This window comes from Homo sapiens, chromosome 6 (genome assembly GCF_000001405.40).
Source record: "Homo sapiens chromosome 6, GRCh38.p14 Primary Assembly".
NCBI lineage: Eukaryota > Metazoa > Chordata > Mammalia > Primates > Hominidae > Homo > Homo sapiens.
Genome location: NC_000006.12, coordinates 49831989 through 49859145, shown reverse-complemented (window position 1 = coordinate 49859145; position 27157 = coordinate 49831989). Strand labels below are relative to the sequence as shown.

General features: G+C 36.0%; 1 protein-coding gene across 6 annotated transcripts in view; it reads left to right on the top strand.

The window, feature by feature from the left end:
• Positions 1-24889, top strand: part of CRISP1 (cysteine rich secretory protein 1) — a 42840-nt gene extending 17951 nt beyond the window's left edge. For 2 of the 6 annotated variants that reach the window (NM_001205220.2, NM_001131.3), the window contains exons 2-8: positions 1744-1811; positions 7017-7145; positions 10847-10937; positions 12478-12626; positions 18151-18248; positions 20621-20709; positions 23703-24889. In NM_001205220.2, the coding sequence (NP_001192149.1) occupies positions 1746-1811; positions 7017-7145; positions 10847-10937; positions 12478-12626; positions 18151-18248; positions 20621-20709; positions 23703-23830 (750 nt within the window). In that variant the 5' untranslated portion in view covers positions 1744-1745 and the 3' untranslated portion in view covers positions 23831-24889. Of the gene's footprint in view, positions 1-1743; positions 1812-7016; positions 7146-10846; positions 10938-11115; positions 11413-11497; positions 11595-11759; positions 11784-12477; positions 12627-18150; positions 18249-20620; positions 20710-23702 lie in introns of those variants that run through there. The other 4 variants (NM_170609.2, XM_017010320.3, XM_011514315.4 and 1 more) reach the window with 4 other exon arrangements.
• Positions 24890-27157: the final 2268 nt, after the last annotated feature.

The following is a 27157-nucleotide window of genomic DNA, read 5'->3' as shown; positions in this document are numbered from 1 at the left end:
AGGCAACTCTTTGGTAGCCTCGAGGGGTCTGTGAGAGTCTAGAAGCATCCCAATGGCTAGGAAGCAGAAGTCCACGATGAAAATGTGCATCAGTGGGGGTCACTCACTTACCCTTTCCATGTGTTAAGGAGCCTTTCCAGGCTCCCAGTCAGTCCCAACTGAGCAGACTGCCTTGTTTTTCTCTCCTTTTTTGCTTTAGGTGTTTCATGTCACTTATCTGTTGAATACTAGATGGTCTATTTGAAGTTTAATTATCTACTCCTTATTTTGGTTCTTCTTTGTGGAGAAGGCAAGTGCCAGATGCCTAGTCAGCTATCTTTCTTGAAGCCCCTCCCCTCAGAATCTCCCTTTTATTTACCTTTTTTGTTTCAGTTACCTCAGGGTTAATATTATCTGCTTTACTAGATTTTTTGAGCATTAGAAAGAGAAAGGGACATTTCATCATCTGTGTCACCATATTACGATAAATCTTGAAATGTGAGGCTATGTGAACATTTGGAGGGAGAAAGAAAGGAAAGGAAATAGATGAAAAAGAGTGATAAAGGTGAGATTGTTTACATGTGTATGTTCTCTGAAAGAATTGATTTAGAGAGTTCTTCTCATATTGAGCATGTCTGGCAGTCAGCAGGGGAAACGTGAGAGCAATGGTAAACTACATCATTGGGTGAAAAAGCATGATTAATTGTCTGCCCTGTATTATTCTGCACAAATTTGTTAACTTGCTCTTTAAAAGTGCTTTCTTTTGTAAAATGAGAACCAAACTGTTAGCCTTTTTTGCTTCTCACACAGCAGGATTAATTCAGAAATAAACTTGGCAGATGGTGAAAAGAAGGTGCCAACCAAATTCAATAATCTATACTTATTAATATCCTAGAGTTAGCTAGCTATATTAACTAAAAATAAAAGAGAAGGTACATTAGCTCTGATTTGTCTGACTCATAATGACAACCATGCTTAGCAAAGTGATCAGATATTATGGAATATCGCTAAGTCACTTACATAAATTAGTAGTAGCAAGTTACTCCTCTTCTTTGTAGCTGACGGAGAGTTTAAATAGAATCTTTCTGTGTTCTTATATTAGTTTCCTCTTGCTACTATAACAAGTTATCATAAATTGAATGTTCTAAAATAAATACAGGTTTATTATCCTACTGTTCTGGAGGTCAGAAATTCAAATAGGTCTTCCTAGGCTAAAATCAGAATGTCAACAGGGAAACTCTATGGGGAGAATCTGTTTCCTTACCTTTTCCTGCTTCCAGAGGCTATCCATATTCCTTAGCTTGGAGTATCTTCCTCTGTTTTCAAATTCAGCATGACTGGTCAAGTCTGTCTCATGCTCATCACTGACATTGACTCTTTTGACTTCCTCTTCAACATTAAATACTCTTGTGATTACATTGGGTCCACCTAGGTATTCCAGGATAATCTCCCTACTTTAATGTTAGCTGATTAGAAGTTTGAATTCCATCTGCTACCTTAATTCCCTTGTGTCATACAATATGACATATTCAAAGGTCCAGGGATTAAAACAATTTATATTTTTGAGATTCTACTATTCTTCAAACAACAGTCCTGCCTTTCTATCTGGATCCCAATGACTAACACATTAAACCTTGTTCGGATCCTAAAGGTTTCTTTTAGGAAAAAAAATGCAAACACATGTAAAAGTGGTTTAAATAGTTTATTACCAGATGTTATCCCATGAATTGAGAATAATCTAAAATTGTGTTATTTTTCTTTCAGGGATGGAAATTAAACACCTCTTGTTTTTGGTTGCTGCTGCTTGCTTACTGCCTATGTTGTCCATGAAAGTATGTGAGGGTTGGATGTTTCATAATTACTTTCTAAATAAAGATAAGAGCTAACACTTTAATACAATTCACCATGTTAGAGGCACTGTTGTGAGGCCACTACACCCATTACTCACTTTGTTTTCACAATAGCCCTGTTAGGCAAGTACTCATCTTAATACCATTTTATAAAGGAGAGAACCAAAGAATAGTAAAGTTGAGTAATATGGCCAATATCTGAGGACTAGGACATGGCAGGGCCTGAAATTATACTTAATCAGTTAGCTCTGTGGGTCCATATCTATTTCATTGTGGCCTCTCTGAATAACACAGGAAAAAAACTGAGAATGCAGATTAGCTATATAATTTTTTACTATAACAAGAATTTAAAGCATCAAAATTAAATATAAAATGGAAAGGTGCCAACAGCACAAAGAGCAACGTGAGGAGCTGATTAGCAGTTTGAATTCCATTGGCTACCTTAATCTCACTAATAATTAAAAACAATAATCTCACTAATAATTAAAAACAATAACTTTAACAGTCACAAAACAGAAGTAGAACACTCAATGATATAATATTTTATGATCAGCCAATAATATTCACCTTTAAATAACTTCAATGATATAAAGAAAATAATATATATTTTAATTTACCCCAAATTTTGTGACAAACTGAAGTAAATAACTTTGGTATAGAAAATGAGTGGTTTTTATATTTTCGTAGGCCAGGTAGAGAAGTAAGAAATAAAAGGCACTTAGTTTTATTGTGGAAAGAAAATCCATATGCATTAGGCTATTAGGGTGTTGGTTTGGTATTTGGTTCCTATTACTCACTCTTCTTCCCCAGAGAGAGACTAGGTGGAGCTCCTGTTTAATGCCCAGTAATCCTCCAGTAAGCTGGAATTAGCGTCCTGAATTAGAGTCCTGAATAAGACTTCTTCCTTCCCTCTGATTCTCTGACCATTTTACTTCCCCAGTGAGGAAGGGTGACCTTCATGCTTCATAATAAGGAAAAAGCTAACCTGAAGTATAGCCACCATTCCAGAGGAATGGGAAAAGGGCAAACAGTCAGAAACCTATATTTGCCATCAAGACCTAGTACTAGGCTGTTTAGACCACTTAGGCCAAGTTCTGGGAAACAGCCTGGCCCAGATTGTCATGTGAAAGAAGAAATTAGTATCACTAGTTAAAAGTCCAGAGCAAAGAGCAGATAAGTAGAACCCTACCCGTCCAAGGGAAACCATACCCAATCCGCTTTTGACCAAGAATACAAAAGAAAAAGTAGAAGGCATTGATAAAACAATAGGTTGATGCTCTATAACAGAGAATTATTAGAATATTTTCATACATTTTATAGATAGTTTGGTCATAAAATAAAGGCTTAAGAATTTTAAATTTAAACAAGAAGATAAATTTAACCCCCAACACAAATTTATTACATAAACTTTAAACATGAGTCTGAGTTAAAGTAAATAATGTGTTCCAATTTGCCAACAAAAGTAGTATTATGCTTTCTTTTTTCAGACTCCAGGTAGAAAGCAAATAGACTAACCACCAGACCTGAATCATATTTTAAACTTCCACCAGTGGCAGTGTTTTTTGGGATATTAGGTGTCTAATTTAACAAAAATTGTTTTTACTTTTTATATAGGTAATTTTCCATGACAATCTGGTAGATGTTACACAAAAAGTTTTTTTGAGGAAAACTATAGAGAGTTGTGATCAGGTAACAGGCAGGCTGAATCGTCTCTGAGTTAATTAGAGACTTATCTGAGCACACGGTATACCTGCAATCTGAAGAATAAGTTGGCTTTGCAAGTTAACAAGGTGTACTATCAAAGGTACAGGCATGGGCAAATATTCTATGGCAGGAAGGAAACTGGCACATTCAGATAACCAAAAAAAAAAAAATCAGAGATAAGGACACATATCCTAAATAGAGGCTGAGAATAAACAGAGTATTCAAAGGCCTTGTTAAAGATTTTAGTTCCTCTTTTTATGAATGGTAAACTGTTGAAGACTTCTAACAGTAAAGTGAATCCATTGTGTCTGTGTTTTAAAATTTTTACTCCGAATGATGATTGGAGAATGCATTATGAAAGAATGGATCACGGAGTGGGAGAGAGGCTATAGACATAGTAAAGCATTAGTGGATTCTGGGAGGCCAGTTGAAAGCTAGACAGTAGCCACAATCAGTCCAGGTGAAAGAAGCAAAGAAAGGAAAGAGAAAAATAAAGAGTGTGTTTGTTCCTTACACCAAAAGAAAGAGTATTTCTACACTGAAAGTTTAGTCAAAAGAGTCAGCTGCCAATAAACCAAGCAGAATAAAGTCATTAAAACAATATTGCATATGCAAATTGAGCTTGTCAGGGATTTTAATAGGAGTATTTCTAATGTAGGGTTTCCCAACTTCAACCTTATTGCCATTTTGTATGGGATAATTATTTGTTGTGGTGAGGGCTGTTCTGGGCCTTGCAGGAATTTAGCAGCAGCATCCTTGCCCTCTATTCACAAAATGGCAGGAGCACTCTCCCCCTATCATGCCCATCACGACAACCTCAAATTTCCCCAGACATTGCCTAATGCCTAAGCAGCAGGGCAGGTGGATCACCTAGAATAGAGAACATATTATTGAAAAAAATGGAGGGAGGTAAATGCGAGGCTCTATTACTTGGGCAACTGTAGACAGCCAGAGTTGGCGATATTTTCCAGAATATTGATAGGGAAAGAGAGTAGAGACAGAGAACAATAGTTGAATGGGGAAGTGATGTAAATGAAATGATGGTTGCTTGTTTATCTGTTTTAAGAAATAAGCAGCATGTAGCCAGTAATGGTGGTGCACACCTGTAATCCTAGCTACTGGGGGGCTGAGGCAGGAGAATCGCTTGAGCCTGGGAAGTAGAGGCTGCAGTGAGCCAAGATCGTGCTACTGCACTCCAGCCTGGCAGCAGAGTGAGACTTCTTCTCAAAAAAAGAGATATAAGCTGCATAATCATAAATAAACACTGCTGGGAAGGGCCAAAAAGAAAGAGTGGCTGACAGCAAACAAAATGAAAAGTAAATAATGTAAGATTTGGGGGAATGGTAGAAGAGAATGGACTAAATAACACTGTTGGAGAATTGAGCCTTAGAAAGATTAGAAAGAATGACCCATTCACTTGTACCACAGAAGAGGAGGAAAGAAAGGGGACAGATACAGGTAGATTGACAGACTGGGTGAGACAGTTGAAGCAGCTGCCCTCTGATGGCTTCTCTTTACTGAGGGAAGAAGGATATTTCACATTCTGTTGAGAGAAGGTGGTTGTGAATGGGGGAGATTGCAAAAGTTCTACAATAATGTGGAGAGTGACAGAGTGAGTTAATCAAACAATTCATTAGAATTGATTAGCAGAGTTAAGGAACTATTTGAGGTCAATCTTACTGATTTGGGGTCATGCAGATATGTGTTGTTTTGTTTTGTGAGACATTTTTCTGGCAATGCTCAGCTGATAGAACAGGCAGGAGAATTGTCAGTCTCATCCGAAGTTGGGATGTTTTAGGTAGGCATTTCTAGATGATGGTGTGCAGACAAAAGATTCAATATTGCAAAAGGAGAGTTGTGAAAGTAGAGAACACAGATAGAGATGAAAGGAAAGACAAGAGAGGGCTAGTAGAGAAAATGAAGAATGAGTTAGAAGGCTCGATTATATTAAAGAACAGTCAGAATGGCTGATCGTGGCAACTTGGAAGAACAGGAAATTCCAATCAGGCAGGGAAATGCTTGACCAGGTGATTTGGGAGGTATGGTGTTTTGGGATGATCATGAGATATAGTAGGTGACCATTAAAGTGAGGATAAAGAGGACTGAAGGAGAAGTCTAAAGGAGGAAGATTTTAAGGGCCTGAGACATCAAAGGGTTGGATTCATCCATGTGGATGTTGAAGTCCTTTGAGTTGACTTCAGAAATCTGGGTGGAAAAGATGAATTCGTTTCAGGAAACCCAATTTCCAGGAATGAGAGGAAGTAAGAAAAAAATCCATGATAGGATGTTAAATAAATGTTCAGGAATGAGGTGTGAGAGGAAAATGTCATGAGTTTCCCTGCAGCAGAGATTTTGAGAGGAGCAAGGAGAGTTGTAATCTGGAAATAGTATGTGGAATCATGTGGGTCCGCAGCCTGTCCTCTAGTCCAAATCAGCATGACTTGCAATGTGAGAAAAAAGTGACATCATGTGAGTATGTCCACAGAGACAGTCTCTAGAGGAGTCTTCTGAATTCCATATTTAAGTTTTCTCCCCTTACCCTAAACTGTTGATATAAATGACAGTGAATACTTCTATATATTGTGTAAGTTATGATGCTAGATCGTATTCATTCATAAATTGTGCTGATGGTCATGTGGTAGTTAAGGAAGCAACAGACACCCCTCACATTATAGTACATTAGTTCTGCCACATTTTTTAAAAAAGGTATGAAGTACATGTGATATCACACACACACACACACACACACACACACACACACACACAAAGATTCTCTTTATAGCGATTAATGCTAACCTAAATACTTTGGTCATGTATTTTTCTTCTTAGTGAGTTTCAGAATAAAAAATAAATAAATGAAAAGAACGGTCACAAATTCAAGATTATAGGCTGAATTTGAATTCTATGTTTTACTCTCTCACACATACACTTGAGAGCATTGATGTTTTCTCATATGAACAGTAAGAAGACATAGAATTTGTGTTAATAACACTTGCAACTTTGTCCTCAATAATGAATCTCTTAGTTTGGGTTACCCCAGACACACACCTCTACACAAGGGTTCAAGTGGAAGTAGTTTATTTGGGAAGCAGAGAGTACAGTTGTTGCAGGGTGGGAGATGTGGAGAATAAGCCAGAGAAGTAAGTAACAGGTGTGATTTTAAGATATCTCCCTTTGTGGATCTTATTGCCCAATAAAAAGTGCTTCAACATGGTCCAAAGTATGAACCTGGAAAAACCCTAATAACAGGATAACAAGTGCATTATTCTGAAGACTAATGTGATGTCAGCCTGACGTTGAGAAATCCTCAAAATTAGTACTGGAGAAATGGAATCCAATATAATGAGACATTATAAATTCAAAAATGCTATAAATCACTGTTTAATATAAACTATAAATTTGCATTACCTATAGGTCTGCAAAATATATGTGACAAATTCCACTTAAAAGAAGTAACACTAATTAATATTTTTCTGGTAACAGAAGAAATCAGCTAGAGACCAATTTAATAAGCTCGTCACCGACTTGCCAAATGTACAAGAAGAGATCGTTAATATACACAACGCCCTCAGGAGAAGAGTAGTTCCACCAGCCAGCAACATGCTGAAGATGGTAAGATCAAAAAATAGCAACAACCATGATTGCAATAATAGTAATGGTGTTTACTGAGTTTTATTAAGTTCTATGCACTTTCAAAGTGCTAAAAGTTTTATCTTCACAACAAATCTTTTACATAGCAGAAGAAACAGAGGTCCAGAGAAGGTAAGTAACTTTCTGATGATTATATGGTTAGTCAATGACAGAGCTCAGCCAGTCTAGCTTCATTCCTCCACACCCTAAGACAGTGCTTCTCAACCTTTAATGTACTCAAGAATCACCTGAAGAACTTAGTAAAGCACACTTTCCTGGGTCTCACTCTCTGATATCCTGATTCATGAGGTCTGACCTGGAGACCACCACAAGCTCCCAGCTGATGCTGATGCTGCCAGTACACACGACAAATATTGATTAACAAGTTATCCATGCATTTCATAGCTGTCTTCATTGGGCAGTAGTCCAGAGGCTAAGACACTCTTCCTAGAATTAAAATATCCAGATATCTAGTTAGTTGATGTGGCCAGGTAAATAAATATTGGCAAATTTATCCCCCAGTTTCATTGCATCCCATAAATAGGAAGAGAAATTATTTCATTATAAACCTGCTATGCTCTGCTACAAGACAAATTTAGGGAAGTCTCAGGTGTTTAGGTGATTACCCTCACATTTGTTATCCAGCAGTATCACTCAGTTTCATGAGCACCCTCAGCCTGCTTCCTTGAACCCTGGACCGGCCTGTAGCAACAAGGGTTAGAAATAGTGCAGGCTCTGGAGGGTGATTCTAAGGAGCACCTTTCTCTTGCAAATGATGAAGAGGATGAAACAAGGAAATACATAAATGATTTTGAGATTTATCTCTTAATCACTTTAAAATCCAAAGGGGTATTTGAACTAAAAATAAAAATCAATAGCTTTCATAGGCATTCCTGCATGGTGTTGTAGCCAACATACATGTGTTTATTATTTACAGGCATTTTTCTAATACCTTGTTACATTAACTCACTTCCTTCTCCCAATAAAATTGTCTTCATTTTACATATTATGACACTGAACCTAAGAAAAATTGAGTAGCTTATTCAAAATCTTAAGGACTGGGGCCCAGATTAAAATGCAAGTGGGCCAGATCTGAGGAGCTGGAGAAGTAGAGTCCAAATTCCTTGGTTGCCAGATGAGCAAATAAGTTTACCTAGGAGGTACAAACAGAGTTAAAGAAAAGTAAAAAATATAGCCTCCGATTTCAGATTGGAGATGAAAGGCAAATACAGAAAAAACACTGGAAAAATACAAGAATACATATATTCAAGTACTAACACAAAAAGATATGAAATATCAAGAAGACGATAAAAGTAAGTGTACCAGTAAAACTGAGAAATATTTCAAAGGAAATACGAGAGTTCAGCTGCTCCACAAACAATGCATAGGACATGTATAGGATTAGAAGTAGCAACAGCAAATTTAAGGAACAATAGGACTGAAGAGTTAACCACAATTACCAGGCAGAGATTTTCTTTAAAAAAAAAAGTTTCTGAACACAATATTAGAACCTAAGTAGAGTCACTTGTTAAAGCTGGAATTCAGAGCTTTGGTACGATCATAAATACAAACTTTAATTTTAATTTTGAATATGTCTCAAAAAAGGAGTATCTCACCAACATTAATCAGAGGTAATGTCCTATACATCATCTTCAAAGTGCAAACATCCTGCTATATTTTAACCAGATAAGTTCCAGTTCCGGTAAGTTTTCTTTTTTTATTTTATTTTATTATTATTATACTTTAAGTTTTAGGGTACATGTGCACAATGTGCAGGTTAGTTACATATGTATACATGTGCCATGCTGGTGTGCTGCACCCATTAACTCGTCATTTAGCATTAGGTATATCTTCTAATGCTATCCCTCCCCCTCCCCCCACCCCACAACTGTCCCCAGAGTGTGATGTTCCCCTTCCTGTGTCCATGTGTTCTCATTGTTCAATTCCCACCTATGAGTGAGAATATGCGGTGTTTGGTTTTTTGTTCTTAGTAGTGAATGCCATGGTATTCCCCCAGCCCAGAGAGGCTATACACTGGTAGATGTGTTGTGTCCTCTCTGCTTATCAGTTAGACATAGCCATGACTAAAATATTTTTTTTTGTTTGAAACTATCAAAACCTACAAAACCATGGTTTTACCCAGTGCTAGGCTAATAAGTTATTTAATTCATCTCACGGTTTAGTAAATTCATCAACCCCAAGGGTAATTCTAAACATTGACCACAAGATGGCAGCAAATACATATTATAATTAAACTACATGCTCAGGACGACACTGAAAATGAGTGTCCTCCAAACAGTCTAAACAGTAGCTGAATGATTTACATAAAAACTTATAGTAAAAACAAACTCTATGACTTCTGTTGGCAATCTGTTATATGCACATATAAGGGTATTCTTTTAAATGGATGTATATGCTGCTGAACACCAGGGGTTCAGCCAAGGTCTAGTTGCTTGCAGCACAAAAATGAGTATTGCCCATTGCCTGGGAAGAAAGGCTTTCATGAGGGTGATGTCAGCCTGACTGTCAAATCCCTCCCTCTCCCTAACCAACCAAAGTTAAAAGTTTATATAGGAGGGACAGAAAACAAGAGGGACAAGGAAGAGGATTTGGTCAACAGGCAGCAGCTGTGTCTCCTTGACCAGGTGTGGTGATCAGGAAAGCCTCAGTTCCCTGCTACCACCTGCGGGGCCCGATGGTGGGTTTCCTGACAAAGGAACTCAGATAAGACAAATGTTCATAGGCTCAGTTCTTTGTAAAAATTGGGCAGTTTCATATACACCACAATGATAGGAGACTGTTAGGGAGATCATTTATCACAGAGTGTCATACTTACAGATGCAGAATTTCTCCCTTTCTGCATTGGGAGAACAGCTGTTACTTAGTCATACCTGACCAAATGCTTCAACTCAGCACAGTTGATGCACACTGAGAGTCAAGAACACATACTCTGAAGCCATCCTAAGTGGATTCAAATTCTTATTTTGTCAGTTATTTATAGTGTGACCCCGAAAAGTTACTTAACATCTCTGTGCCTTATTTCCCTTATTTACAAATGGATATAATATTTTTTTTTTGTAGAGTTGCCATGAGGTTAAAGTGAGAGAAGATACACACAGAATTGGTGACAGATTCTGGCATGTGGTGTTAGCTTTTATTTTTGTTATTCATAATTTTAGATGGAAATATGACTCTATACTTGCTTCTAATCACAGCCAGCATTTATTCAATACAGAAGATTTGTCACATCTCAGTTGTATTCCTTGGAATATCACATTTGAACAAACCTTTGGGCATAAATTACAGGTAACAGTTTCCAGATGGATAAACTGAGATTCAAAGAGATAAAATAACATGTCTGAGTTTAAACTACAAATAAATTACTAAGTAACTCTGGTCTGTTTCCCTGGAAGCATTTACTTAAATTCTCTACTACATCTGAGAGAGAATCTATCTCTGAATGTAATTACCAAGTTTTGAATTTGTGAATTCAAGGGCCAACATAATAAATTGAAATTGTTGTCTTTCTCTTTCTACTAGAACGTTTAATAGTAATCTCATTATTTAAATTTCTAGTTGATACAATTGAAGATATTATATCTCGTGGATTATTAAAAACAATAAATTAGAATCTTATGAAAATATTAATTGGAACATGTGCTTTTTTTTTCTTTCCACTACAGAGTTGGAGTGAAGAGGCTGCACAAAATGCCAGAATTTTTTCAAAGTATTGTGATATGACAGAGAGCAACCCCCTTGAGAGGAGACTTCCAAGTAAGTGTGTATCTATATGACCCGCCTTTGGACTAAAAAAAAAAAAAATAGTAAAACAGGGATTGTTATGTACCCTGATGAAAGTAAATTAAGTCATCTAGATTTCCTCATTTGCACTGGGTCATACAAGGCAGTGAATTGTGGACTATTACACTGTTTTAACTCATTAATTTTTAAGGTTTATATCTTTAAGTTTTCAGATTCCAAGTTCTGGAGTTTTCAGATTCCAAGTTCTGACCATCAGGAGAAATGAATAAAAAATCTCAGTATTGCAGAAGAGTGGAGTGAGCAGCTAGAAACCTAGGTCTCCATTCTGTGGAGTTACTATAGCTACTGAACAATAGCACCATGGGGATCTGCTTAGCTTTGGAACGATAATGCAGTTGAGAAATAAGTTATATGCAGCCCTGCTCAGCTGCCCATAAGACAATTTTAGGTGCTCAAAAATGAGCCCATCTTAAAGCATATAAATTAGGTAACTTACTGCTAGTTTCCAGGAAATAATAAAAAAAAACATTATTGCTTCTGTGTTACGCTGTTTTTGTGTTGCTGTAAAGAAATACCTGAGCCTTGGTAATTTATTAAGAAGAGATTTCATTAGCTTATGACTCTGCGGGCTGTACAGGAAGCATGGCACCCACATCTACTTGGCTTTTGGTGAGACCTTAGGAAGCTTACAATCATGGCAGAAGGTGAAGGGGGAGCAAGTGTCTCACATGGTGAGAGAGGGAGCAAGAGAGAGAGAGTTGGGGGGTGCCACATACTTTTAAACAACCAGATCTCATGAGAACTCACTCACCATTATGAAGACAGCACCAAGTTCTTTGAGGAATCCACTACCGTGAGGTAAACGTCTCCGGTCAGGCCCCACCTTCAACACGGGGATTACATCTCAACATGAGATTTGGAGGGGACATCCAAACTATATCACCTTCACTCAGGAATAAACATTATATTTTAACATGAGAATCTTTTTTTAATTAACATGTTTTAAAAATGCTGATTCACATTTATATCTACAGATTATTTGGAATCTTAGTCCAATGCTTTTTAGCAGTGAATTAGCAAAGTGGTTCCTGCCTGCCTTAAGAAAAGACAGATACTCCTGAATACCATGTTCAACCAAAAGCCCACACCATACATGAATGGCTAAATAAACAAATGTTTATTCAACATCTTTGTATTATGAACACCTGTGTGTAGCTTCCTTTAAGCCATAGACCCTGTTAGCACTCTTATGCTTCTCTGATTTGGTTTCACCTATCTAAAGCAGCTTGGAAGCAGCAGAGACTGAAATGTTGATGATTTGATTTCAAAACTTGTTCATCACCTACTATCAACGTTTCACCAAACTTGAGTACCACATGCTCATTCATCAATGAGAAAGATTTTCAGTGGGGATACAACTTATTTTACTCCCTCTCAGAAGATGTTGTCAAGATGATCAGTGAACCATTCATAAAATAAAAATGAGGAAAGTCTCCTTGTATACTATTTCCCATTTGTTCAGAGTATGACCCAGCCCGTTTTCTCATTTCAGATACCTTTTGTGGAGAAAATATGCATATGACATCTTATCCTGTATCATGGTCAAGTGTAATTGGAGTCTGGTACAGTGAGTCTACAAGTTTCAAACATGGAGAATGGACAACAACGGATGATGACATAACTACTGACCACTACACTCAGGTAACCTGTGTGCTGGCAAACACACACATTGTTTAAGAGATAAGCATGTGTGTGGAAACGTAACTAAGAAACAACTGAAAATCATTCTACCTTCTTATGGCAATCTTTACTCAATTTACTGAGTTCCTCTTATAATTTGAAATAGAAGGAAGTGTTCTGTTCAAAATACGACTTAGAGAAGATGCTTAACCTCTTAGTATCCTTCTTTACTCACTAGATTTTTCAGGAACTCACAAAATCATAAGACATCAATCTCATTTGATATTGGTAGTATTTGTAAAAGTGAAAATAATGGTACCTTACAATACAGAGAAACCCCTGATTTCTAACTTTAGTTTTATTGTGGTAAGATATACATTTAAAAAATTACCATTTTAACTATTTTAAATGGTTTCATGTTCAGCATTAATGTGGCATGAATGTTCAGTGGCAATAAGTCCACTCAAATCGTTGTGCAACGCCATCGCCAGAATATTTTCATTTTCCCAAACCGAAACTCTGTACTCATTAAACAATACCTTCCATTCCTCTCCCTACTTCCCCAGACCTCTGGCAACTACCACTCTACTTTCTGTCTCTGTGAATTTCACTACTCAAAGTACCTCATAAATTTGGAAACATACAATATTTGTCCTTTTGTGTCTGCTTTATTTCACTCAGCATGATATATTAAATCCATGTTCATCCATGTTGTAGCATGTGTCAGAATTGTATTCTTTTTTTTAAGGCTAAATGCTATTTCATTGCATGTGTATATCACCTTTTGCTTGTCTGTTCTGATGGGCATTTGAGTTGTTTCCATTTTTTTTTTTGGCTATTGTGAATAATACTGCTTTAAATATTGGTGTGAAAATATCTGTTTGAGTGCTTGCTTTCAATTGTTTTGGGCATATGCCAAGGAGAGGAATTACTGGATCATATGTGAATACTGTGTTTATTATTTGAAAAACTGGAGTACTATTATATTTTCTGTTGCAGCTGCACCATTTTACGTTCCCACCAGCAATTTACAAAATTTGCAATTTCTTCACATCTTTGCTCTATTAATCTGCTTAGGATGCCATAACAAAATACCACAGCTGGGTGGATTAAACAACAGAACTTTATTTTCCCACATTTTGTATCCTAGAAGTCTATGATCTTAATAGAGCATAGTTTCTAGTGAAAGCTTTCTGCCTGACACCTTCTCACAATGTCCTAACATGGCTTCTCCCCAGTGCAAAAGAGGAGCCAGAGAGAGTCAAGGATAGAGACAGAGACAAGAGAGACCATAAGAGCAAGCTGTCTAGCATCTGTTCATGTAAGGACACAAATCCTACTGGAACAGGGCCCAAGTCGTATGACTTTATTTAATCTTAATTATTTCCTTAGAAACTCTATTTTCAGATACAGCTACACTGGATGGAAGTTAGAGGTACAGAATACGAATTTTGGGGGAAGAATTCAGCTCATAACATTGTACCATTGCCCCTCCCCAACAAATTTATTTTTTCCTCACATGCAAAATAGATTCGTTCCATCCCAAGAGCCCTCAAATTCTTAATTTATTCCAGTATCAACTCTAAAGTCTAAGGCCCAAAGTCTTACCTAAATATTATCTAAATGCATGAGATTCAAGATGTGATTCATCCAGAGGTAAAATTTCTCGCCAGGAGTGAACCTATGAAACAAAAAATGTTATATGCTTCCATAGTACAACAGAAAGACAGGCATAGGATAGACATTCTCATTTCGAAAGAGAGAAATAGAAAAGGAAGCAGCAATGGGTCCCAGGCAAATCCAAAACCAGGCAAAAGAAATTTCATGTGATAGTAAGGCTTGAGAATAATTCTCTTTGGTTTGATGCTCTGCACTCTTGGCCAACTTGGAGGCAGCATCACCCATGGCTCTGTGGGCAGCCTTTTCCCTTTAGCTCAGTGAGGCAGCCTCTTCCCTTTAGCTCAGTGAGGCAGCCTCATCAAATGACTCTCAGAAGAGGCCCTGCTAACATGGCTGTTTTCAGAGATCATCTGCAGGGACAACACTGTTTGAAGCTAAGCAGGAAGCAGCCTTGCTCCCTGGACCTGTAGTGGGCATGGGAGCCCTCATGATCTCTGAAACATTTGGGGAGTCATTCTTCCCTTTTCTTGAAAGATAAAGCATGTTTGAAGTGAAATATCTCTATCATGTCATTCTGAAGAGTCTAAGAAGTCGGACAGCCTTCCTTCACTTGGGTCTGTTTTCTCTGTCCACTTTAGTTCAAACTGGCAGTACCTCCACTGCATAATCACACCTCTATTTCTGCTGAGATGTATGATTAAATCCATAAATCATATCCATGGTGTCTTTATCTAATGGTTGTTCAGCGACATCCTTAGGATTCTCTTTTGAAAATACTTTCTCATTTTCTGCAATATAGATGGGCTAATGATTGTGTAAATCTTCAAGTTCTGGTTCTTCCTTGCATAAAGATTTCTTCAATTGCTTGCTCTCCTCTTGTAGGTTACTATAAGTGATGAGGAGAAACCAAACCACTCCTTCAATCCTTTGCTCTGAAATCTCCTCAGCTAAATTTCTATGTTTGTTATTCACAACTTCTGCCTTCCACAAAACACTAGAAGACAAGGCAGCAGCCATTTTGTTTGCTACTTTGTAACAAAGATTACCTTTCTTCCAATTTCCAAGTACATGTCCCTCATTTATATCTGAGACCACAACAAAATAGACTTTAATGCCCTTATTTCTATCAACACTCCCCTCAAGGCAATCTACACTTTTTATAGCATGCACTTAAGAACTTCCAGTCTCTACCCATTATCCAATTCCAAGGCTGCTTCCACATTTTTAGGTATTTGTTGAAGCAGCATCTCAGTTCTTGATACCAAAATCTGTTTTAGTGTGCTCAGTCTACCATAACAAAATATCACATTCCTGAATGACTTAAACCACAGAAGTTTATTTTATTGAATTCACAAAGGCTGGAAGTCCAAGATTAGAGTGCCAGCATAGTTAGTTTCTTGAGAGGATTCTCCTTCTGGCTTAAAGACTGCTTCCTTTCACTATGTTCTCACATGTGCCCATTGGTAAGTTACACAAAATCTAAAATAAAATCCACTTGAAATAAAGCCTACTTAAATTTGATGTTAAAAGCCAATGAAGATAAAGCATATAAAAAAGAGGCATAATCACAGAAATTAATGCAGAAATCCTAAATAAAACACTAGTAAATAGCATTTTCTTTTAAGATTGATACACTTAGACACAAAGGGTATGTGGCAGGAATCCAGGAGTATCTTAACATTAAACTAATCATATAATTTACCTTATCAAAGGATTAAAGGATAAAAATACAATAAATATCTAGAAAGCTAAAAATCTAAGAAATTTGTGGCCTGGATTCAAACCTTCTATTTCCTATATAAGTCAACTAACACACTAATTTTATCACAAAAGCATTATCTCATCGCTGTGGTATATTAACTGAATTCCATCACCTTCAGATAATCTTGATTTGTCTCCTTCAAAGTGAATCGGTGTCACTTTCAAAATAGAACACGTTTTATCAAAATGATTTCTCTCATTTCCTGTTTCCAGGAATGAAGACAATGAAATCAGAGAAATTCGCTTTCATTTGCTTAAAATTTAACACAGTAGAATATAGAAACATTTTACATTCCACCAGTTATGGATTCCTCTCATGACTAGCAAATGGAGGAGCTAGGACTAGAACCCAGATCTGAATCCTAGTCAAGTGGTCTTTACACAGCTCTTAATCTTTCATATGCACTTGAGAGATGGGAACTTCATTTCACCTAATGTTCTAAAAATCAGAAGCAGCTGAGCGCAGGGAAGGGCAAGTAGCAGAATACAGGGTTCCAAGCAGAATGAACTGAACAGCAAGAACATTAATGCGAAGGTGAGTAAGCCCATGACAGCAGGCCCAGTGGGGGAATATACCACAAGGCTTTTCCAGACATTTTCCGACATTTTCTGTAGCCTTGTATAAATACATTAGTATGTTCATAGAAAAATTTTGTAAAATAAAAGCTCTTTTTCTACAATCATTTGTGTCTGAAGACCTAATGAAAAAAGTTTCATTTTCAATTTTTCTTTGCTATGAGTTAAAAGAATAAATGAATAAATTAAGTTCAATAATCTTATTACCAATTAATATAGAGAGAGAACATAGCAAAATAGATGTTCAGCTGCATTTTTATTAAAATCATGTTTCAGGTTATGTGCTCCATTAGATTCTGAGTTCAACAGGGTCTCTTACGGAAAATACTCATTGGTAGAAAATGTTAGTAAGAACCTGCAAACAAAGAATCTACATTATAAAATTTTTATGCCCAGATAGAGCAATAGTTTTAGTAAAAGCCTAGGTTAGCCGCAGATAATTAAAAGCCATATGGTGTGGAGAGATTGGCACCCATGCATGACTCTCTTTGTAAAGAGAAAACAATATTTTATCTAAAAGAGTCATACAAACATGTTCTCTAATCAAGAACATGAACAGAAATGTGAGGAAAGTCTCTAGGACTGTGAGAAAGCTACCCAGGCTCACATAAGGCAGGGAGGGCGAGTGAGAACAATCACACTTACTGAAAACATCTCCTTTTGAACCACTTAAATATTTGAATGTTTAATCCTACCATTCACTTATGATGTAGAGGACAGCGTTGTTGTATCCCATTTTACAGCTGAGAAAATGAAACTCAGAGGCATAAAGCAAACTTCTAAGTATACCCTACCCAAGAAGTAAATGATGGAATTTAAACCTGGCTCACTTTTCCTCAAAAACCAACTCAGTACTCTACAGTATGCCTGTTCACTGACCGATAAGAAAAGTTTCTTCCAAGCTTTGATTTTTATATAACCACCAAGCAGCCTTCATTATGTAAACTGATAAGTTATCTTGTCCACATAAATTTGATGAGAAGGGGAGAATGAGCCAGCGTTGATGACAGCCACTCATGTTTCGTTCCAATGAGTCATGGAGAATTGACACAGAGTTTTGATCATCCCTGAGTATACTGGATAAGATCAGAGAAATGAATCCCATGCACAGTCATGTACGGCCCATGTACAGAAAGGCAACACTCAAGTCCTCTTTGAACATCAGCCTGTTCATAGCAAAATGATCAACGCTACCTTTTGGACCTTTACCCTCTCTCTACCCATCTCTCCTATCCCAGAGAAAATGAACATTGGGTTTTGTTAAAATTAGAAATTACATCTAGAAGCCCAACTTACTTTCAAAAAGAAAAACTGACAAAAAATAGAGACAATGTCAATCATCAAGTCATCCTCCCCGTCAGCTGATTTTCTCCACCTGGTTTCCATTGTGTGCAGCTATGTGCGTGTACATGCATGTGTGGTATCCAGACACGTGGGAGTCCTTTTGTTTCTATGACTTCTTATTAAGCCATGCCCAAAGTAAACCTAAAAGCAACATGTTTACTTTTAATCATGGATGACAATATGGATATTATAGTCATTTAGTAAAATATTTAATCTGTAATAAAACAACTCTTTATCATTGCAGATTGTTTGGGCCACATCTTACCTGATTGGCTGTGCCATTGCATCTTGCCGCCAACAAGGATCACCTCGATATCTCTACGTTTGTCACTATTGTCATGAGTATGTATTATTAGTTTTTAAAATATATATCCCCCTAAAGTAACCTAATCTAGTTTTTCAAACATTGTTTTTTTGTGTGCATAAATGTTTGTAGCAACTTTATTCATAATAGACAAGAGCTGGAAATAACCCAGATGTCCTTCAAAGATGAATGGTTACACAATCTGTAGTTTGAGTCTTGACTACTTCCTAGTTATGTGAAAACACATATTTAGTTATATATTATTTTATTCCTTTGACTGTATTTTCTCTTATTTAAAAAAAACTCCAATATATTTTCAGAGCAATTTACCAGCAGTCTTCCTATGTGTCATTGATTCTTCAGGTAATTATTATATAAGAGAAACAAATTTGATTAAGCAAAGAAACAAGGACATTTACTTCAACAAAACAAGAGTATTGTTAGACCAAAAGGACAGACATGCAGTGGAGTCTTAACAAGGAAACAAATAGAAAGAGCCAAGTGTCTTTCCCTGTATTTAGCTATCTAGTCAAAAAGTTGTTGCATGTCTTCTCTTTAAAAATTAAATATACATGTTACAGATTCTACCACAGATACTAGTCACAATTCCTAGAAAATTTAATCTGATTGTTTCAGTAAGGTTCTGCTGCACCTTCTTCTCCTATCAACTGTGATTATGAAGCAAGATCAAGTAAGACAAGGATGACTGCAGGGCCCAACTGTGTGGCTCCAGTGACGGTTATCAGAAAAGTGAAGATTATTCAGAGCTGGATAGAACTGCCTGATATTTGACTACAAATGCCAGTTCAATATCACTTCTGCACTTCTGCTGATAAAAGTCAGTGACGCCATCATATATCTCCTTCAGCTACATGTATTTCTTAGATTAACACATAAGTCTTTCCTACATAATGTGAACTCAATGCATGGTGCTTAACCACTGCCTCCCATGTATGTAGCACAATACAAAATGTTCAGTATAAATCAATGAACATGATTTATTTGAAAACACACTGCCATACTTCACATTTTCAGTGGCGCCACCACTATCACTATTGATTCAGAGTGTAATATCACCATATAATAACTCTATATGAGTTATATATAAATTGTGCTGAAGACAATAAAATCTCTTTGCTGCTACAACACATCATTTGTGATACATGTTTTCAAGGGTTGGTAGTCTGCAGTGAACTTCAACTGATCCAAAAAAGAAAAGTACAAAATATGGAGATCTATGATGGGGAATTTTCTTGGTTGAAGATTAGTCCAAGTCTCTCATTAAATCTCTTACTGAATTTAGTAATAATCTTCTTTTCAAAGTGAAATTTTAGCAGCTCAGATAAACAAATATCATATTTAAAAAGGCTTTTTAAAACCAGAACATTTACTTTTTAAAGTTGTATTTAGAAGCAGATATTATCTACATTATGTTTTTAGACATACATGGGTAAGAATTGTCTTTTCTTTTTTGTTTTTCCTTTTGAGATAGGGCCTTGTTCTGTCACCCAGGCTGGAGTGCAGAGGTGTCAACATAGCTCCCTGTAGTATTGACCTTCTGGGCTCCAGCTATCCTCCCACCTCAGCCTTCCAAGTATCTGGAACTACAGGCATACGCCACCAGGCCTAACTAATTTTTTTTTTTTTTTTTTTTTTTTTTTTTGTAGATATGAAGATGCTTTTTTTTTGCCCAGGCTTTTCTCAAACTTTCGGGCTCAAGCAATCCTTCCACTTTGCCCTCTCAAAGTGCTGGGATTACAGGGATAAGTCATTGAGCCCTGCCCGTCTTTTCTAAAGTTTCAAATTAGTCCAGAACTAGAACTTCTCATCTACTTTCTTTCCCACACCCCAGCACTTTAGTTTTATCCATGCTGATGTACTTTCATCTTTTATATACACCATCTCTTTCAATAAAAGACATTAACATGTAAAAAGTTTCTTATAACATAGTGCAAGATGGAGTTAGAACCTCTCTAACTTGCCTCACTTGAGATTTTCTTCTTAACATTGGTAAGAATCATGCCCTTTTAAATGATGGTTTACCAAGTCCTTATAGGTATTAATGAAGAATGTTCTATTGTAATTGGCTCTAAAGCCCTCTTGCTTGTGAGTCCCCTTGCTTGTACTTGGGAGTACCCAAAGTTCCCAAGTACTGTTAGGACTTGACTGTCCAACGAGATGTGCACATTGACTGAAAAATATTTTCATGTCACTCACATTTATTGGTTCTACGTGCTAAAAAATATTATAGCTGTAAGATTGGAAATCTCACACCCATCTTAAAAATTATCACTGTTCTTTACAAGAATGTTTACACAATTTGTTTTTAAAATTGGTTGTACACTGTGAGTAAAGTTTTATGTGAGTTTTTCAAAGATGGGTTTTATGAAATCACTTTTTTTTATTCAAGGGGAAATGATCCTGAAACAAAGAATGAACCTTATAAGACAGGCGTCCCATGTGAAGCCTGCCCAAGTAACTGTGAAGACAAACTTTGCAGTAAGTTTGTTTGCATTCTGTTTGTTTACAGTTAACCCATTGATCTGGGAACCATACATCCTTTAAATTAAGCATTAAAAAACATCGCACTTTTCTACAACTTTCATCTCATTCATGTACAAATTATTTCTGCTTACCCCTCCCCAATTGCCAGAGTGACTGAAAACCATTGATTTAACCTATGGCAAAGGAAATTACAAAGTCTAGGTCTGAGAACTCGAGTTCCCACCCAACAGATTAAAATATTTAATTAGGGTCAACCTAGATAAAATATTGAGGTAAGTGTAGATTTTTCTCTGCTCTCTAAAAAGTTCTTGGACCCCCTTACTGCAACCCATAATTTAGGCCCATTGCTTTCAGTTTACCGGTGTTCTCCAATTGCTTGCCCCTCCATGACTACCTACCCAGGTTGCCTGACCACTTATTGTGGCATGCAATTTTTACTGAGTGATCCTTATTCTTCTTTGGTTCCTGTGAACCATCTAAAAAGTTAGCTGATGCTCACATTATTCCTTAAAGCCTCTTTTTTTTTTTTAATTTCTTGAATAAATCTTACCTAAGGTAAAGCTTTAGCCAAATGGGTGCCATTTCTGTTTATTCCCTTAGATAGCCAAATTTCACTTTTTGAAGCCTACCTGCAAACATAATTTCTTAATTTCTAGGAATAATCTTGATTAAGATAAATTATACTAGTAATAAGTCTGTGGAGAAAAAAATAAACCTTAGAAAAATATCCTGTGACCTCCGACTTGAAAGGCCACTTATTTTTCTTCACCTAACCAGGTTACTTTATTGTCTTTTAAAGTAAGAAAGAAAATGGATTCTTCTTCCTCCTTTTACCTTTCTCTCGTTTCTCTTCTCTTGTACTCTTTTATTTACTTCTCTATCTGTCTCCCTCTCTCTTTCTCTGTATCCACTTCACTTTTTATACCCCGTTTCTGGAAAAAAATGTAGATGGAGAGAGATTCCTCCCCACCGGGAAAAAAAAAAAAAAATCAACCAGTTACCTATGCCTTAGCAGGAGAAGGGATGGCAATTGAGTAGATTTTTAGAATCTAGGTGAGAAAAGCAATGTCTGTGGTGGTATAACAATTTAATAGAAGTGAAAGAAGAGTAGGGAAGAGAAATGTTATTCAAGAAGATTGATTATATCACATAGATGATGTATATCATAAGCCCTTTCTTCACCTGTAAGTGTTTGAGAAAGTGAGAGCTATTAAAGGAATATATGAACTTAAGAATTGAACATATTGGGCACAAACAATGCTAAAAATGTAAGACCTAGACATGCAGATATAATTCATTTAATGTAATTCAAATAAAATTTATAAAAATAATTCTTACTTATAATATTAGGAAAGTATATAAATTAAGAACAACAGATAAAAGAAAACAACGGATTACAACACTTTACAGATTCAAAGAAAATATATGTTACTGCTAAAGAAAAAAAAATCCACTGATAGTCATATTTCACCAGAATACTACATAAGAGAATAAAGTAGGATAAAGATAGGTAATTGATTTTTTAAAAAAAATGAGTAATGACTTTGGCAAATTACTGATTGTAGGAAAAAGAAGCAGAGATACACTATCAAATATACAATTGCTCTGGCAGTAATATGACATCCATATTTCATCTCCTTGTTGCACCTTGATAAATCTACTGTAGTTATTCTCCAAGTTCCTGGAAGGTGAATCAGTTTAATAATTTAGGAAGAGGAAAATGTGTATAGCATAGAAGGATATTCACTAAAATAATAAACAGTAAGACATAAATGTAAATTTAAAATTTGTAGGCCGGGCGCGGTGGCTCACGCTTGTAATCCCAGCACTTTGGGAGGCCGAGGCGGGCGGATCACGAGGTCAGGAGATCGTAGACCACCCTGGCTAACATGGTGAAACCCCGTCTCTACTAAAAAATAAAAAAAAAATTAGCAGGGCGTGATGGCGGGCGCCTGTAGTCCCAGCTACTCGGGAGGCTGAGGCAGGAGAATGGCGTGAACCCGGGAGGCAGAGCTTGCAGTGAGCCGAGATTGCACCACTGCACTCCTGCCTGGGCCACAGAGCGAGACTCCGTCTCAAAAAAAAAAAAATAAAATAAAAATAAAAATAAAATTTATAAGATTGTTATAAATTTCATGCAATGATCAAACTTTATAATTGAAGGATAAGAGATATAATGGGAAAATTTAAATTTTTCCATTGTCAAGATTCAAATTCAGGACTGCATAAAGGTCAGAAAATCTTAAAAGAGAGAGGGAATTAAATTATTGTTATTTTTGCCTTTATATAGAGACAAATAGATACATTGGTTAGTTGTGATAGAGAATTCAGGTCAAAAAATATTTTGGTAAGCTTTTTGGTGCTATTGCCACAAATTTAAAATTTTGGGTATCTTCATACTGATTGGAGAATTTCGTGTGCATTTCTGCCTCTGTATGTACCAGGATGTAGGTGCGTGCACATCCATGGGATAGAGCAAGGTGAGAAAAATCACTAGAATGTTAGTTGAGATAACCTCTGGGTGGATGGAGAGATTATATATGCCATCCTATATGTGCTTTTTAATTCCATTTTCCATTGGCTATACATTACTTTTAATAATCCAAAGCAAATCTTTAACCATTAAATAATGCAGCATTAGATAATTAGACAAAAAATTATGAATATTTTATATTGCAATGGCATAGTTAATACTTTCAAAATGACAGTGTAATTAAAAATATGATTCCTCTCCAATCTGTTTATATTGGACTTAAAAAATTGTGATAAAAACTTGTTTTACACAAAGACAAAAATTTTACCTTTTTCTTTTCATACATGATCTTATCACCTGTTTTGCATTCAGATTTAGTTAGCTTATGCTAATTAAATTTAGTTAGCAATTGTTAATAAAAATTTCTCTTTTTGTCTTTAATAAGATGGTCTCTTTCCTCAGCAAATGCGATTTTTAAAAGACTGTGTTGTAAAACCATACTATTTTCTTTCAGCTAACCCCTGCATCTACTATGATGAATACTTCGACTGTGACATACAAGTCCATTATCTGGGATGCAACCACTCAACAACTATCCTATTCTGTAAAGCCACTTGTCTGTGTGACACTGAGATAAAATAGGTCTTTGTTATTTTCAACTGTTCTATGCTGTGACGATGAGGAGGAGATGTCTGTTGGATTCATGTCTTTTGCTATAGTTCAGTAGCTTCTGCTAAATTTCACTGATTTTAATCATGCTGGAGACCTTAACTCCCATCCTGATACATCCTGAAGTAACACTGTTTTAAACTTTCTTAGTGCTGGAGTAAAAGGTCAAGTCCAACACCTGCCTTAAATTTAAATCATGTGATTTATAGTTTTTAAGTTGGCATAATTCAACTTATGGTATAACTGGGTCCCTCAACAGTAACCTGGGCTAAAATAGGTCTTATGTGGTTCAACTCCCACCCCCGCCTTCCCCATATTTTCAACCACTCTGATTATCTTCCCTGCACAACTAACATCCAGTAATAATTCTTCACTTTTAAAATTTTACTTCTACTTTAAATCAATCATTAAAGGAATCCACAAAGCAAACAGAGTTCAGTCTCATCTTGCAAGGTAAATATCATTTAATTGGAAGTAGTTTAAATGTCTCATTGTTTTATTGACACATCTATATATACATTTGTGAAGCAAGAAACAATAAAAAAGCTTCGTATGCCATTAATTTAACAAAATATGTATTCAGTACTGATTGCATACAAGATGCATGTTTATATATATGGAAGGAATATAGTTTCATTTCATTGCAAAGGCAGTATAAAAGATATATAAAATAGCATAATATGAGAAATTAAGTCCCTAAAGACATATAGGTCACATATTATTATTGCCAGATGAGCATAAATAGCTTCTGTTTGGAGATTCAGGAAAGCCTTAGGGTGGAATGAGGAACATCTTCTGAGTAAACAGGGTTGCAAAGGTTATGATTATTTCAACACAATGGAAGAGCACAGTTAAGGCCAACTAACGTAAAATGCACTGAAGCCTTAGGGAATATTGAAGGGCCTGACATGGGGAAAGGGAAGGCTAAAAATACTTGGTCAAATTTTAACATTATACCAAAGTTATACCCAGTTCTACCTACTTGTATATTTCTTTACTCATTTCAATAAAGTGTTTGAAAAAAAAAAAAAAGACATCACCCACTTTCCAAAAGTAAACAGGTAAGCCATACCTCAAACCCATTCTGCATCATACAGAGGTTCTCGTCACAGGTACAAAAATTCTGTGTGGCTCCAAGAAAAGAGGACAATTTGAGAATGACGCCCTCTTGACATGACCCATGTCTTTCCATTTAGATCTATGGGCATTTCTCCCATGTAAATCCTTCAGACCCATTCTCACTTTTTACTTAAACTACATATGTTAGATCTATCCACTTGATTGTATCTATCTTTTGAGTAATTGTCATTAGCACAATCATGGACATATTAACATCAGGAGAACAGTGACTCATCCTGGGACACAGTAAGTAGGCTGGTACTTTATAGCCGAAATATTTAATAAATGGAACTCATTACAAAAATCAAAGTAATAATTTACTCTAAGAAAATTAAATGTGTGTGCTGTAGAAAATCTTTACTCATTTTTGCATTACCAGGTATTGTGATTTCTCTTACCTCACCAAGGTAGCATTAGATTTTAGAATAATTAAATTAGAGCCCTGAGTTCTGAATTTTGCATGCTAGATAACCAACTAATCCTGCAGTCTACTGTAACATATTGGCAGGCAGTGTTACTGTATTCTTACACTACAATATGCTCTTTCTAGAAATTAACATGATACTTCTCAAAATTTGCATTCCAATCACATCTCTTCCCACTTTGCATAAGAGTAAGCATATTCAAATATTTCTTAAGGGTTGGGGAAGGAGGAGGAAGGGTATGCCTACGTCTAAGGAAAATCAAATAAGCAAGTAACAAAACTTTGACCTCATTTGTCTACATTACCCAAATTTAAATAATATGTTGGCTTATCTCACAATAAATTGTATTTGTTAAATATAAAAAGTATTCCCCCCAAAAAATATCTCAGAGCAAACTGACTGTGTGAAAAGTACCCTGTAATGAAGAAGGTTGGGGGCGGTGGATGACCTCATGTACACCATTCTTCTATTATCTCAAAAGCTTTCAGAATCACACATATTGTTTGGAAAATCATTAAAAAAGCTATTTTAGATGACAGAGAAAAAACTCTTATTTACCATGCAACATCTTTCTAAAAAATGGAAACAGTCTTACACCTCTTTCCAAATGTTATTGAATATAGAATAAATAATAACAAATAATTCTGAAGCAGAAACAATATCCAGTGGCAGTCTGTACTTTCACAGTAGTAAAAGAAAAAAAATAGTTCTAAGTGTGTAATACAAAGATTAAGAGCATGAGCAGAGGTGTCACCCAGCTGGTTTGAATTCAGGACACAACATGTGCTTGCTCTGTGACTTTGAAAAAGATTATTTTTCTTTGTCCTCATCTATAAGTTATAGTAAGAGATAGAACCTACTTCATAAGTTTGTTTTAAGGATTGAATGAGTTAGTATGTAAAATCCTTAGAAAGGTATCTTGTGCTTAAAGTGTGCTCGATAACTATTAGCTGGCATTATTATTCATTCTCTTCAAACTCCAGTCCCTGAGCTCTGCCTTTCAGACATAGTTGAGCGGCACGCTCTGGACTCTTCCCTTTTGTGAACTCAGCAGTGAACATGTGTTATGGTGATAAATGAACAGTCTCTGCCCCAACCCAAATAACATAACAAGTATGGAATAATTTATTAATACAATAAAGGAGCTTTCACAGAAATCTATAGTATAAAACTACCTTTGATTAAAGAAGACATTCAATTTAGTAGAAATACCTGATTTCACCACATTATTTAGTAATTCAATGCAATCAGAATGGAAATATCAAGAAGAGCTTTTATAGAATTTACATGTTTATCCTAAATTCATTTGGAAAATAATTATTCAATAGAGACCACCAAAATTAAAATTAAATTAAAGATGTGTGTTTTGATAAAGATATTTACATATGAGAAAGATAATTTTTGGAAAACAGTATTAAAATACTAGGGCAGGAAATTTGAACAAAATCATGACATGAAATCTTGAAAGTATTTATTTGAAGATAGTAATTTCACTGGAAAACAAAAAAAAATGTATAAAGGCAGAAGTACAGCAAGTGAAAGGTTAAGATTAATTTTTAAATCTTTTAAAAGGTCGATACATAGTTGATCTATGTGACTTATGTATGTTTACATAAATATAGAAAATGAATCTATAGATTGATAATAATGAAAAGTGTTACATTAGAAAAAAAAGGAGAGAAAAACCACCAAATAGGTACAGAAATGCACATGCCATTAAACAGAAAAGTTACCTCTTTCATAATGCAAAAAAGTG